Source organism: Homo sapiens, chromosome 10 (assembly GCF_000001405.40).
Source record: "Homo sapiens chromosome 10, GRCh38.p14 Primary Assembly".
NCBI lineage: Eukaryota > Metazoa > Chordata > Mammalia > Primates > Hominidae > Homo > Homo sapiens.
In genome coordinates, this window is record NC_000010.11 from 27,173,646 (window position 1) to 27,186,314 (window position 12,669).

Consider the following 12,669-nt stretch of genomic DNA (forward strand, 5'->3'; position numbering starts at 1 on the left):
TCTCGGCTCACTGCAATCTCTGCCTCCCAGGTTCAAGTGATTCTCTGGCCTCAGCCTCCTGAGTAGCTGGGATTACAGGCATCCACCATCATGCCCGCCTAATTTTTGTATTTTTAGTAGAGACAGTTTCACCATGTTAGCCAGACTGGTCTTTAACTCCTGACCTCAGGTGATCCTCCCACCTTGGCCTCCCAAAGTGCTGGGATTACAGGCGTGAGCCACCGTACCCGGCCTATCTTACCTCTTAATGTTTCTTCAGGTTGGATGGAGTTTGGGCTCAGGACCACAATGTTGGGTCTAAATTTCTGTTCAGTCTTCAGAAGCCTATTCCTGTTTAGAACTTATTCTCAGTTATATCCTTACCAGAAGAGTCAAGCCAGAAATGAACCATCATCCTTCAAAACAGAACATAAGTATAGAAAGATAGGGCTGGTTACGGTGGCTCACGCCTGTAATCCTAGCACTTCGGGAGGCCAAGGCAGGTGGATCACTTGAGGCCAGGAGTTCGAGACCAAGCTGGCCAACATGGTGAAACCTCACCTCTACTAAAAACACAAAAATTAGCTGGGCATGGTGGTGCATGCCTGTAATTCCAGCTATTCGGGAGGCTGGGGCATGAGAATTGCTTGAACCTGGGAGGCCGAGGTTGCAGTGAGCCAAGATCGTGCCACTACACTCGAGCCTGGGCAACAGAGCAAGACTCTGTCTAAAAAAAAATAAAAATAAAAATAAAAAGATGACATTTTCACCTATCTTCTTTTCTTCCCTTTCTCTCTGAAAACTGTTCCCTTCCTGCATTCTGAAATGAACTGTATTCATCTTCCTAGGGATGCTGTAGCACAAACTGGGTGTCTCAAACCAATAAAAATTCATTGTTTCACAGTTCTGGAAGCTAGAGTTCCAAAATCAGGTGTCCACAGGGCTATACTACCCCTGAAACCTGTAGGGAAATCCTTCTTTGCCTCTTCCTGGCTTCTGGTGGCTTGCTGGCAATCCTCAGTGTTCCTTGACTTGAAGATGCCTCATTCCAGTTCTCCCTCTTTCTGTGATGGTGTTCTCCCTGTGTCTCTATCATCATAGAGCTGGCTTCTGAGAAGGACACCAGTCATTAGGAGCCCATCTTACTCCAGTATGACCTCATCTTAACCTAATCTTAACCTAATTAATCATAGTTGCAAAAACCCATTTCCAAATAAGGTCACATTTTTAGGTACGGGTTAGGACTTAAACATAGCTTTTTTGGGAGGGACACAGTTCAACCCATAACATCAACCTCTTCTACATGTTGATGTTAGTTACTTCCCTTTTCTTTGAGCTCTTTTCATGATCATCTGTTTCATCCTCCCCACCCCACCTCTCACACCCTTTCTTCTGTTTGTATTTCCTTGCCGGCTTTTATCCTCAGCCTGAAAATAAGTTTCCACCCTTGTCTCCCCAACATTGCCTAACTTCTCAAAGGTTTCCTCTTTGTTTGATTATTTTGCTCTGGCAACTTATCATCTCACTATTTAACTGAAAATTCTTTTATTTATTATTTATTTATTTATTTATTTAGAGATGGAGTTTTGCTCTTGTTGCCCAGGCTGGAGTGCAGTGGCACGATCTCAGCTCACTGCAACCTCCGTCTCCCGGGTTCAAGATATTCTCCTGCCTCAGCCTCCCGAGTAGCTGGGATTACAGGCATGCGCCACCATGCCCGGCTAATTTTGTATTTTTAGTAGAGATAGGGTTTCTCCATGTTGGTCAGGCTGGTCTCGAACTCCCGACCTCAGGTGATCTGCCTGCCTTGGCCTTCTGAAGTGCTGGGATTACAGGTGTGAGCCATGGCGCCCGGCCTAACTGAAACTTCTTAATGGGCACCAGTGATTTCCTTATTGTCAAATCCAATTGTCTCTTCTCATTCCCCTGACCTCTGTTGCTGCTCTTCAGTTCCTTCCTTACCTCTTCTAAATATAGTTCTTGGAGATTCTGCCTTTACCCTTTTTGCCCTACACGTGCTCCATGTTCATCTCATCACTCCCATGATGTCAGTTTGTCACCTCCATGTTGATGATTCCCAAATCTCTGTCTCTAATCCTGACTTTCTCTAGGCAGCAGACAGACAGCCAATCTGGCTATTCAGTATTCTACTGATCTTTCAAATGTTGGGTCTCAAAACTGGACTTGTGGGGCCTGGTGCTGTGGCACATGGCTGTAATCCCAGCACTTTGGGAGGCCAAGTTGGGTAGATCACTTGAGGTCAGGAGTTCAAGACCAGCCTGGCCAACATGGTAAAACCCCATCTCTACTAAAAATACAAAAATTAGCCAGGCGTGGTGGTGTGCATCTGTAATCCCAGCTACTCAGGAGGCTGAGACAGGAGAATCGCTTGAACCCGGGAGGCGGAGGTTGCAGTGAGCCAAGATCGTGCCACTGCACTCCAGCCTGGGTGATAGAGCAAGACTCCATCTCAAAAAAAAAAAAAAAAGAAAACACTGGGCTTGTTACCCAGCTAGCTCTTCCTCTGTTCCCTACCTCAGTTTCATCACCTTCATGGTGACACAATCTTTGTTCCTACATTCAAGCATTTAAATCCAGCCAATTAGATCTCTGCAGCATTTCACCTCTCATTTTCTTCTCTGCCACTGTTCTCTTTAAGAACTCATCTTTCTCTTTTATTATTTTAGTGCCCTTCTATCTGATCTCTTCAACTTCATCTTATTATCAATAATCATTGCCACCGGATTTTTCTTCCAAAACCATCACATGGCTTATTCTATTTCCCTTCTCAGAAAACTACAGTGGCTCCCTCTTAGCTGCTAAGTAAAATCCAAATTGATCACGACATTTGAGGTTATAGCTCTCATACCAGCCTTGTCTCTCAAAGAGTCTCTTTATATGCCTTATGTTCCCATTCCATTTCTTAAATACATTTAATTTTCAGGTCTTCCCTATTTTGCTTGTGTATTAAACCTTATTTGAGCAAAGCCAGTTTCCTAGTATCTTCCAGTCAAATTCCTTCTCATTTCATCATTTCAAATGTTACCTCTTCCATAAAGCATCCCTTGATCAACTACTGGGAATTATTCACTTCTATGTTACCTTATTAGAAACTGTTTAAAATTTATGCCATTCTTCCTGTGTTGTAACTAATTGTTTATTTATCTCCACTACAAAAGCTTAAGAAAACTTTTTGAGGAGACTGTGAGTTTTCTTTCTTTTTTCTTTTTTTTTTTTTTTTGAGACAGTCTCAGTCTGTTGCCCAGACTGGAGTGCAGTGGCGCAGTCTTGGCTCACTGCAACTCCCGCCTCCTGGGTTCAAGCAGTTGTTTGCCTCAGCCTCCCAATTAGCTGGGTTTACAGGCACCTGCCCCCATGCTCGGCTAATTTTTGTATTTTTAGTAGAGACGGGGTTTCACCATCATGGCCAGGCTGGTCTTGAACTCCTGACCTTGTGATCCACCCAAAGTGTTCAGCCTCCCAAAGTGCTGGGATTACAGGTATGAGCCACCACACCCAGCCAAGAGTGTGAGTTTTCTGCCTTCTGCATAGCACTCCTGAATTCCTTGGAAGCACTCAGTAACTGATATTAATAATCTCTACAATATTGGCAATAGACATATTTAGTGTTCCTCTTTCTCGCTTAGCCAAAGCAAGTAAATTCCTATGAGCACTGATTTTTATATAGTGCCTCTTTTGCTCTGTCACAGATTTGCTAGCCCATTTTCTGTATTATAATTTGCATTATCTCTAACTTAGGACACAGTGTGAAAGTAAGCTTCAAACATAAAGATGTATTTTATAGCATCTTGCCACTATTTTAGTGAGACATCTAGCTCCCTCAGCTAAACAACATGCTGACAACATGCTGAGGCCCAGCCATGACCTTCTTGATGCCCCTCCATCTTGCCTCTCAGCCGAGATGAGCCAGGGAGTCTGTCCTGAGTTTTCCGTAACTTTATGTGCACCTTTTTGTTTCAGCTTAGTGTGTTAAAATTGTCTGTATTGTCTCTTCCAGAGTAGGCTGGTTTCTCTTTGGGAAAAGAGATTTTTCTTAATCGTCTTTGTATCCTTTATATCTGGCACAATACCTGGTGCCCAGTTCAGTGAATGATGAGGGAAGGGACTCTAATAATTTTAATACAGTGTACCTAACTACTGTTTTCTTACATGCAGGATTTCTGACTTCCGGTGAGTGAGCTTCTCTATAAAGTAATGCGGCAAAGCACATTAAACTGAACAGTCAAAGTATAACTAGATCACATTGCATAAAAAACTATTTTTCCTTTTAGCTCACTTGTGAAATACAAAAATGAACCGTCTTCTGTTTTCTGAGCAGCAAGACATCCAGAGAGGTGGTTCTTCTCTGTGAAAAGAAATATAGGCCTGAGGCGTTTTTCATCAACTTTTAAAGGTAGCACAGAGTGAAGACGCAGTCTTTTTTATTATAACAGAAAAAATAGTATTGATACAAATATTAAAAATGGCTGGGCACTGTGGCTCACGCCTGTAATCCCAGCACTTTGGGAGGCCGAGTCAGGCAGGTCACCTGAGGTCAGGAGTTCGAGACCAGCCTGCCCAACATGGCGAAACCCCGTCTCCACTTAAAAAAAGGATAAAAATTAGCTGGGTGTGGTGGCTTATACCTGTAATCCTAGCTACTCAGGAGGCTGAGGTAGGAGAATCACTTGTACCCAGGTGGCAGAGGTTGCAGTGAGCTGAGATTACACCACTGCACTCCAGCCTGGGTGACAGAGCGAGACTCCATCTCAAAAAAAAAAAAAAAATTGACAACTACAGAAGGGCTCTAATTTTCCAAATCTTTTCATTTTATTATCATTAGAAAATAAAAAAGTGTAACAATATCAACATATCCCTATAAACTAAAGAAATGAGTTTTGAATTAGAAAGCCAGCAATGTAAAACAAATCTGTTCTTTTTCTGTGGCTAATAACATATAATTGCAAAGTTTTATTCCATTATGTGATCTTATTAGACTTTGACTTAAGTATATGGGTATGTGTGGCATATCCATAGAGAAATCATGTATTTTTTTTTTTTTTAACACAAGTATATTTTGGCTGAGCTGGTAAAAGGGGCCTAATTTCTAACCTAAGTAAAATAAGGAAATTTTTTTTTTCTAATTCCCCCCTACTTTTCTGTTATTTGGTTACATTATCTAATCCATTGGGATAATTCTTTCTCAGTGCTGCTTGAAAGGCCTACTAACTGAGGTGGTTTGTATGTTTTTATAGTATTATAGAAATAGAAGCCTATAGAATATTTGCATTTTGTATTCCTTTAAGGGAAGATGGGATTATATGGCTCGCAGGTAAAATGGCACTCTAAATGCATGCAGCTATTTTTCCTAAAATCAGATTCCACAATGCTTTCCTAGTTGTCTTAAAATGCAGTGGTGGCAGTTGTTTAACCACAGTAAAGAATTTTGTGAAGTTGTCTTTAAAGAGTAACTTTCAGGCAAATTTAGCACTAGACTAGGATGCCTATTCTTAATTTATATTGAAGTTATCCATTTTTGAACTAAAATTAACCTTTTCTTAGGAAACACTTTGTTCATAGAACTAAAGTATAAACCAGTTTATAGTTTATAAGATCATATTTAAAATAATCGTTAAAAACATCTTTGTGGCCAGGTGCAGTGGCTCACGCCTGTAATCCAAGCACTTTGGGAGACTGAGGCAGGTGGATCGCAAGGTCAGGAGATCGAGACCATCCTGGCTAACACAGTGAAACCCTGTCTCTACTAAAAATACAGAAAAAAATTATCTGGGCATGGTGGCAGGCGCCTGTAGTCCCAGCTACTTGGGAGGCTGAGGCAGGAGAATGGCGTGAACCCAGGAGGCAGAGCTTGCAGTGAGCAGAGATTGCACCACTGCACTCCAGTCTGGGTGACAGAGTGAGAGTCCGTCTCAAAAAACAAACAAACAAAGAAAAAAAACTTTGTATATAAATTTTGCATCCAATGAATATTTTATTTAGAAATCAGTTTTACCTATATCTTAAGACATCTCCTACTTACCTCTTGAAACCATAGTTTAAGTGAATATTCTTTGTTAAACTAATTTGTCCCTCTCTGTTCCTAAAAGGAATAAAGCCACATTAAAATACTCTGTAATTAAGGCCTTCCCTAGTTACCAGGCTTTCCTCCAATTACTATAAATGTTGCTGCCTTATCTCATACCTTGTGTGGGATACAGAATAATCATGTAAATGTTTACATTTCCTGATATGAAATTGAGTAGTAGTCTGCCTATTTTAGAGAATAATTTTAGGATTTAAGATACATAACATATCCAGAATATCAGAAATTATTAATAAATGAAAAAAATGGCTTTATCTTCTCTTTAACCAGCTGTGGTAATTGGTAATCTAAACTTCTTGGAAAATAAAGAGGAAAGCAGTTGTCACATTGCCCAAGTGAAAACAATGTGGGTTTTTGCACTTTTGATTATACCAAAATGTTCACATACTAATGTTGCAGATAGTGACTATCTGGGGCTGATGGCGTGGGCAATAAAGGAATTGATGAAGACAGTTGTAGGTAAAGAAAGGCAAATTTATTAGACGAAGTAGGAAAATACATTGTAAGGTTGTAACGAGCAAGTCACCAAGAGGGGAGCTGATCACAAGGCGACAAGGGCTTGCTAGAGATGTTACAGGGCGGTGCTTGTCCCGGAGAAGGCCGCATGCTGCGCTGATAATGCCAAGGTTGCAGTGAGCTAACTCGCATTTTTCTTTTCTTTTCTTTTCTTTTCTTTTTTTTTGAGACAGAGTCTTGCTCTGTCGCCCAGGCTGGAGTGCAGTGGCGTGATCTCGGCTCACTGCAACCTCTGCCTCCCAGGTTCAAGCGATTCTCCTGCCTTAGTCTCCCCAGTAGCTGGGATTATAGGCATGTGCCACCACGCCTGGCCAATTTTTGTATTTTTAGTACAGACAGGGTTTCACCATGTTGGCTGGGCTGGTCTTGAACTCCTGACCTCAGGTAATCCACCCTCCCCAGCCACCCAAAGTGCCAGGATTACAGGCATAAGCCACCGCGCCCAGCTCTACCTTGCATTTTTGTATCAATCAAGGGTCTGGTGATACGTGGGCACAGGACAATTGTGAGTTATTTGTACAGGAGGGCTGTGCGTCCTGGACCATGAGGAAAGGCAGACTTGCAGCTTATCTGCTTTTTCTTTTTGCTTCCCCCTGGTCCTACCAGCCTAACTCGTTTTCCCTAATTAGGACTCCACAATTAATATTTCTGTTCATCAAATATTTGTAGAGAATGCTTGCAACTTTAGCTGTTTCCTCTTCGATTACAGGTCCTGCGGTAGACTGGTGGGCACTTGGAGTTTGCTTGTTTGAATTTCTAACAGGAATTCCCCCTTTCAATGATGAAACACCACAACAAGTATTCCAGAATATTCTGAAAAGAGGTGATTCTTTTTCTCCTATTAAGATAGTCATTTACTGGCTGGGCATAGTGGCCCATGCCTGTAATCCCAGCACTTTGGGAGGCCAAGGCGGGTGGATCGCCTGAGGTCAGGAGTTCGAGACCAGCCTGGCCAACATGGTAAAACCCCATCTCTACTAAAAAAAAAATACAAAAAATTAGCCAGGCATGTTGACGGGCGCCTGTAATCCCAGCTACTCGGGAGGCTGAAGCAGGAGAATCGCTTGAACCTGGGAGGTGGAGGTTGCAGTGAGCTGAGATCACGCTTTTGCACTCCAGCCTGGGTGACAAGAGTGAAACTCCATCTCAAAAAACAAAAAAAAGTAGTCATTTATCTCTGGATACTATTATTTTGAGCAGTAATAAACAAGTTTATTTGTATATGTATAATTTTAGATATCCCTTGGCCAGAAGGTGAAGAAAAGTTATCTGATAATGCTCAAAGTGCAGTAGAAATACTTTTAACCATTGATGATACAAAGAGAGCTGGAATGAAAGGTATGGTTTTGTGTTAATACATTGTTTTACCATTGATTTTTTGCAGATGGTGAATATTTATAAAAATAGCAAGTTCTGGCTGGGCGTGGTGGCTCACGCCTGTAATCCCAGCACTTTGGGAGGCTGAGGCGGGCTGATCACAAGGTCAGGAGTTCAAGACCAGCCTGTCCGATATGGCGAAAGCCCATCTCTACTAAAAAATACAAAAATTGGCCGGGTGTGGTGGCTCAGGCCTGTAATCCAAGCACTCTGGTAGGCCGAGGCAGGCGGATCACGAGATCAGGAGATCGAGACCATCCTGGCTTAACATGGTGAAACTCTGTCCCTACTAAAAATACAAAAAAGTAGGCAGGCATAGTGGCGGGTGCCTGTAGTCCCAGCGACTTGGGAGGCTGAGGCAGGAGAATGGCATGAACCTGGGAGGCAGAGCTTGCAGTGAGCCAAGATTGTGCCACTGCAATCTAGCCTGGGCAACAGAGCGAGACTCCCTCTCAAAAAAAAAAAAAAAAAATACAAAAATTAGGCCCAGCGTGGTGGCGTGCACCTGTAGTCCCAGCTACTCTGGAGGCTGAGGCAGGAGAATCGCTTCAACCCGGGAGGCGGACATTGCAGTGACCAGAGATCACACCACTGCACTCCAGCCTGGGCGACAGAGACTCTGTCTCAAAAAAAAAAAAAAATCAAGTTCCAATATAATACTACAGATAATCTGACTGCTAAATTGGTACAAAGATAATTCGATTTATTTCTCCCCTCTAGGTATGCATTGATATATTGGTCCTTATTCTACATGAAAATTCAATGTGTCACATGGTAGAAGAGGCAAAAAAAATTTAGTGTGGTCAAATGGCAATACTGTATTCATGCATTAGATTTTATTAATCGGTGGGTGTGGTAGCTCATGCCTATACTCCAAGCACTTTGGGAGGCTGCAGCTGGCAATCGTTTGAGCTCAGGGGTTTGTGTCCAGCCTGGGCAACATGGTGAAACTGTCTCTACAAAAAATACAAAAAATAGCCAAGCAAGGCAGTGCGCACCTGTAGTTCCAGCTACTTGGGGGCTTAGGCAGGAAGATTACTTGAGCCCAGGAGGTCGAGGCTACAGCGAGCCATGTTCACGCCACTGCATTTCAGCCTGGGAAACAAAGTGAGACTCTGGCTCAAAAAAAATTATTTATCTCAAGTATCTAAAACAATCTTACCTCTTTTTTTTTTTTTTAACATACGTTATTATTGCTATTTATTTATTTAAAGACAGTGTCTCACTATGTTGCTTAGGCTGGTCTTGAACTCCTGGGCTCAAAGGATCCTCCCACCTCAGCCTCCCCAAAATGCTGAATTACAGGTGTGAGCCACCTTGCCTGTCCTAAAACAATCTTGTTAGTGTCTTGGGTTTTTCAAAGCCTGATAAAGTTAAGGAAATACAGGAAATCTTTTTTTATGAAACCCTCTGTTCTGTCATTTTTAAAAACAAATTTATTTTCCCTAATCTTGCGAGAGAGATGTTCTGTAATTTCTTATTGCTTCATTTTTGATACTATTATTTATTGATAAATGTACTGGATCCCAGGTTGGCTCAAGACAAACTTGGTATATTATATACCACTCAGTAGTTTTCTCAATGCAGGAGTATATTAAGCCCTAATTTGGAAACTAGTAAATCTCATTAGCAGCTGCCTTAAAATTCTTTTGTTGTTGTTGTTGTTGTTGTTGTTGTTGAGACAGAGACTTGCTCTGTCACCAGGCTGCAGTGCATGCAGTGGTGTGATCTCGGCTCACTGCAACCTCCGCCTCCCAGGTTCAAGTGATTCTCCTGCCTCAGCCCCCCAAGTAGCTGGGACTACAGGCATGTGCCACCACGCCCAGCTAATTTTTGTATTTTTTAGTAGAGATGGGGTTTCACCATGTTGGCCAGGATGGTCTCGATCTCTTGACCTTGTGATCCTCCTGCCTCGGCCTCCCAAAGTGCTGGGATTTTAAAATTCCTTTTGTAACGAGGTATGGTAATATAGAGAAAAGCATTACGTCCCAAAATGCATTTCTTTATCAAGTAGAATGTATTCAGGAAAATGAGCTTCAGAAATGTGTCATTTGCATCAGCTTCTAGGTGTTCCCTGTAATAATTTCTTTCTTTTTTTGGTTTTGGGATTTTTTTGAGACAGGATCTGGGTCTGTCGCCCAGGCTGGAATGTAGTAGCACAATCTCGGCTCACTGCAACTTTCTGGGCTCAAGCAATTCTTCCACCTCAGCCTCCCAAGTAGCTGGTACTACTGGTGCACACTACCACACCCAGCTAATTTTTGTATTTTTAGTAGAGATGGGGTTTTGCTGTGTTGCCCAGGCTGGTCTCGAACTCCTGGGCTCAAGCCATCCGCCCACCTTGGCCTCCCTAAGTACTGGGATTACAGGCATGAGCCACCACGCCTGGCCCAGTTTGTTTACTCACTGATTTAACCAATCCTATAGAGTGCCTTCTAGGAGCTAGGTGATATTGCTTCAGGCCCTGGGAATACCCTAGGGATGATCTAGACTCAGATCCCTGTCCTCGTGGAACTTACATTCTAGTGGAAAGAGAGACAGTGAACAGTTACAGACACAACATAATGTCATGTAGTGGTAAATACTAGGAAGAAAAATAAAGCAGGGTGAGAGGATATGAAGTGATGGCACGAGACTTCTTTTTAGACAGTGTGGTCAGGAGGACCTCTGTGAAGAGGGGCATTTGAGCAGAAACCTGTGTAAAGTGAGGGAGCAGACATTTGGAAAGTCAGCTCTAGCTTTTTCAAGGCACTTCAGACTTAGATTATACTACTTAAAACATATAAACACACACACGTTTCAACTTCTGATGCTGTACATTGGATTTGGACATACTGAGTCCTTGTAGTATTATTTCAGAATAGATGTGAGTGTCTGAATGCAACATATTGGTCAGATTGCCATTATAAAAAACACTATCACATATAAGAAGGATTTTTTTTTTTTTTTTTTTTTTTTGAGACGGAATCTCGTTCTGTTGCCCAGGCTGGAGTGCAGTGGCATGATCTCGGCTCACTGCAGCCTCAGCCTCCCAGGTTCAAGTGACTCTCCTGCCTCAGCCTCCCAAATAGCTGGGACTGCAGCTGCATCCCACCACACCTGGCTAATTTTTGTATTTTTAGTAGAGACGGGGTTTCACCATGTTGGCCAGGCTGGTCTCGAACTCCTGACCTCAAGTAATCCGCCCACCTCAGCCTCCCAAAGTGCTGGGATTACAGGCATGAGCCATTACTCTGCCCAAAAGAGCATACTTTTATTTTACTAGGTAGAAGGAAATAGGAACAATGACAGGTAATGAAATGGCAGTAAAGAGGTGAGGAAGGCTTTGAAATCTTGTAAGCAGAGCAGCTCAGTGATATAGAGCTTCCAATGTAGCCATAAGCTAGAAGTCAATATGTTGTAGAGATGCAAGTCAGTGAAATCAAGGAAGTCAAAGAACCATGAAGAGAACGTGTCAGAACTGTCATCAGTATCTATTCTTGAAGTCACCATGAAGGATAAGGATGGAGCACAGGGAAGAAAGGGAGAAGGGGGTGAGCTTCATGCTAAAGCTGTCTAGGGCAATAGATACTGCTAAGGAGCGTGGTGATAGAAACAGGTGGCAAGGCCTTAGAGTCAAAACTGGAGCATTCATCATGGAAGATCAATGGCATGGAAGGTTTATCAAGGAGCAGAAAGTAGGCCACACTCTCTTCCCCTGAGTCAGGGATTCTTTAACAAGATGCAGGCAGGGTGGGCGCGGTGGCTCACACCTATAATCCCAGCACTTTGGGAGGCTGAGGCGGGTGGATCCCCTGGGGTCGGGAGTTCGAGACCAGCCTGGCCAACATGGTGAAACCCCATCTCTACTAAAAATACAAAAATTAGCCAGGCTTGGTGGTACACATCTGTAATCCCAGCTACTCAGGAGGATGAGGTGGGAGAATCGCTTGAACCCGGGAGGCAGAGTTTGCAGTGAGCCGAGATTGTGCCATTGCACTCCAGCCTAGGTGACAGACAAAAAAAAAAAAAAAAAAAATTAGCCAGGCATGGTAGCACTCACCTGTAGTCCCAGCTACTTGGGAGGCTGAGGCACGAGAACCACTCAACCTGGGAGATGGAGGTTGCAGTGAGCCAAGATTGCACCACTACACTCCAGATTGGGCACTGGAGAGAGACTCCATTTCAAAAAAAAAAAAAGATGTGAGTGCCGGGCATGGTGACTCACACCTGTAATCCCAGCACTTTGGAAGGCCAAGGTGGGCAGATCACCTGAGGTCAGGAGTTCGAGACCAACCTGCCCAACATGGCGAAACCCCGTCTCTACTAAAAATACAAAATTAGCCTGGTGTGGTGGCACACACCTGTAATCCCAGCTACTCGGGAGGCTGAGGTAGGAGAATCGCTTGAACCCGGGAGGCGGCGGTTGCAGTGAGCAGAGATCGCGCCACTGCACTTCAGCCTGGGCAACGGAGCGAGACCTCGTCTCAAAAAAAAAGCTGTGAGAAAGATAGGCTTCTAAGTTAAGGCAAATCATTCATTCTGTCATTAAACAAATACAAACCAGGCACCTGTCATATGCCAAGTGATATTCAAAATGGCCCATGTAGACCTTTGTGAAGTATGTGGCCTAACAGACATTAAACAAATGTCTGTGAAACTGACATAATAAAGTAAGGTAAGTTATATGTGAGACATTCTCTTTTTATAATAAT

General features: G+C 43.0%; 2 protein-coding genes across 36 annotated transcripts in view; one reads left to right on the plus strand and one right to left on the minus strand.

Moving 5' to 3' along the window:
* The window catches only part of MASTL (microtubule associated serine/threonine kinase like), a 33,475-nt gene that overhangs the window by 19,167 nt on the left and 1,639 nt on the right, over positions 1-12,669 (plus strand). For 6 of the 23 annotated variants that reach the window (NR_135469.2, XM_047425916.1, XM_047425917.1 and 3 more), the window contains 2 exons: positions 7,308-7,421; positions 7,835-7,936. The exons of 2 other annotated variants lie outside the window; for them this stretch is intronic. Coding sequence is in view for 20 of the 21 variants with exons in the window: in XM_047425916.1 (XP_047281872.1) it covers positions 7,308-7,421; positions 7,835-7,936 (216 nt within the window). In the remaining variant the exon portion in view is untranslated. Of the gene's footprint in view, positions 1-4,155; positions 4,171-7,307; positions 7,422-7,834; positions 7,937-7,982; positions 8,899-12,669 lie in introns of those variants that run through there. 15 more of the 23 variants (XM_017016853.3, NM_001372029.1, NM_001320757.2 and 12 more) reach the window with 6 other exon arrangements.
* Positions 9,193-12,669, minus strand: part of ACBD5 (acyl-CoA binding domain containing 5) — a 59,274-nt gene continuing 55,797 nt past the window's right edge. For all 13 annotated transcript variants that reach the window (XM_017016893.3, XM_017016885.3, XM_017016890.3 and 10 more), the window contains one exon: positions 9,193-10,670. In XM_017016893.3, the coding sequence (XP_016872382.2) occupies positions 10,631-10,670 (40 nt within the window). In that variant the 3' untranslated portion in view covers positions 9,193-10,630. The remainder of the gene's footprint in view (positions 10,671-12,669) is intronic.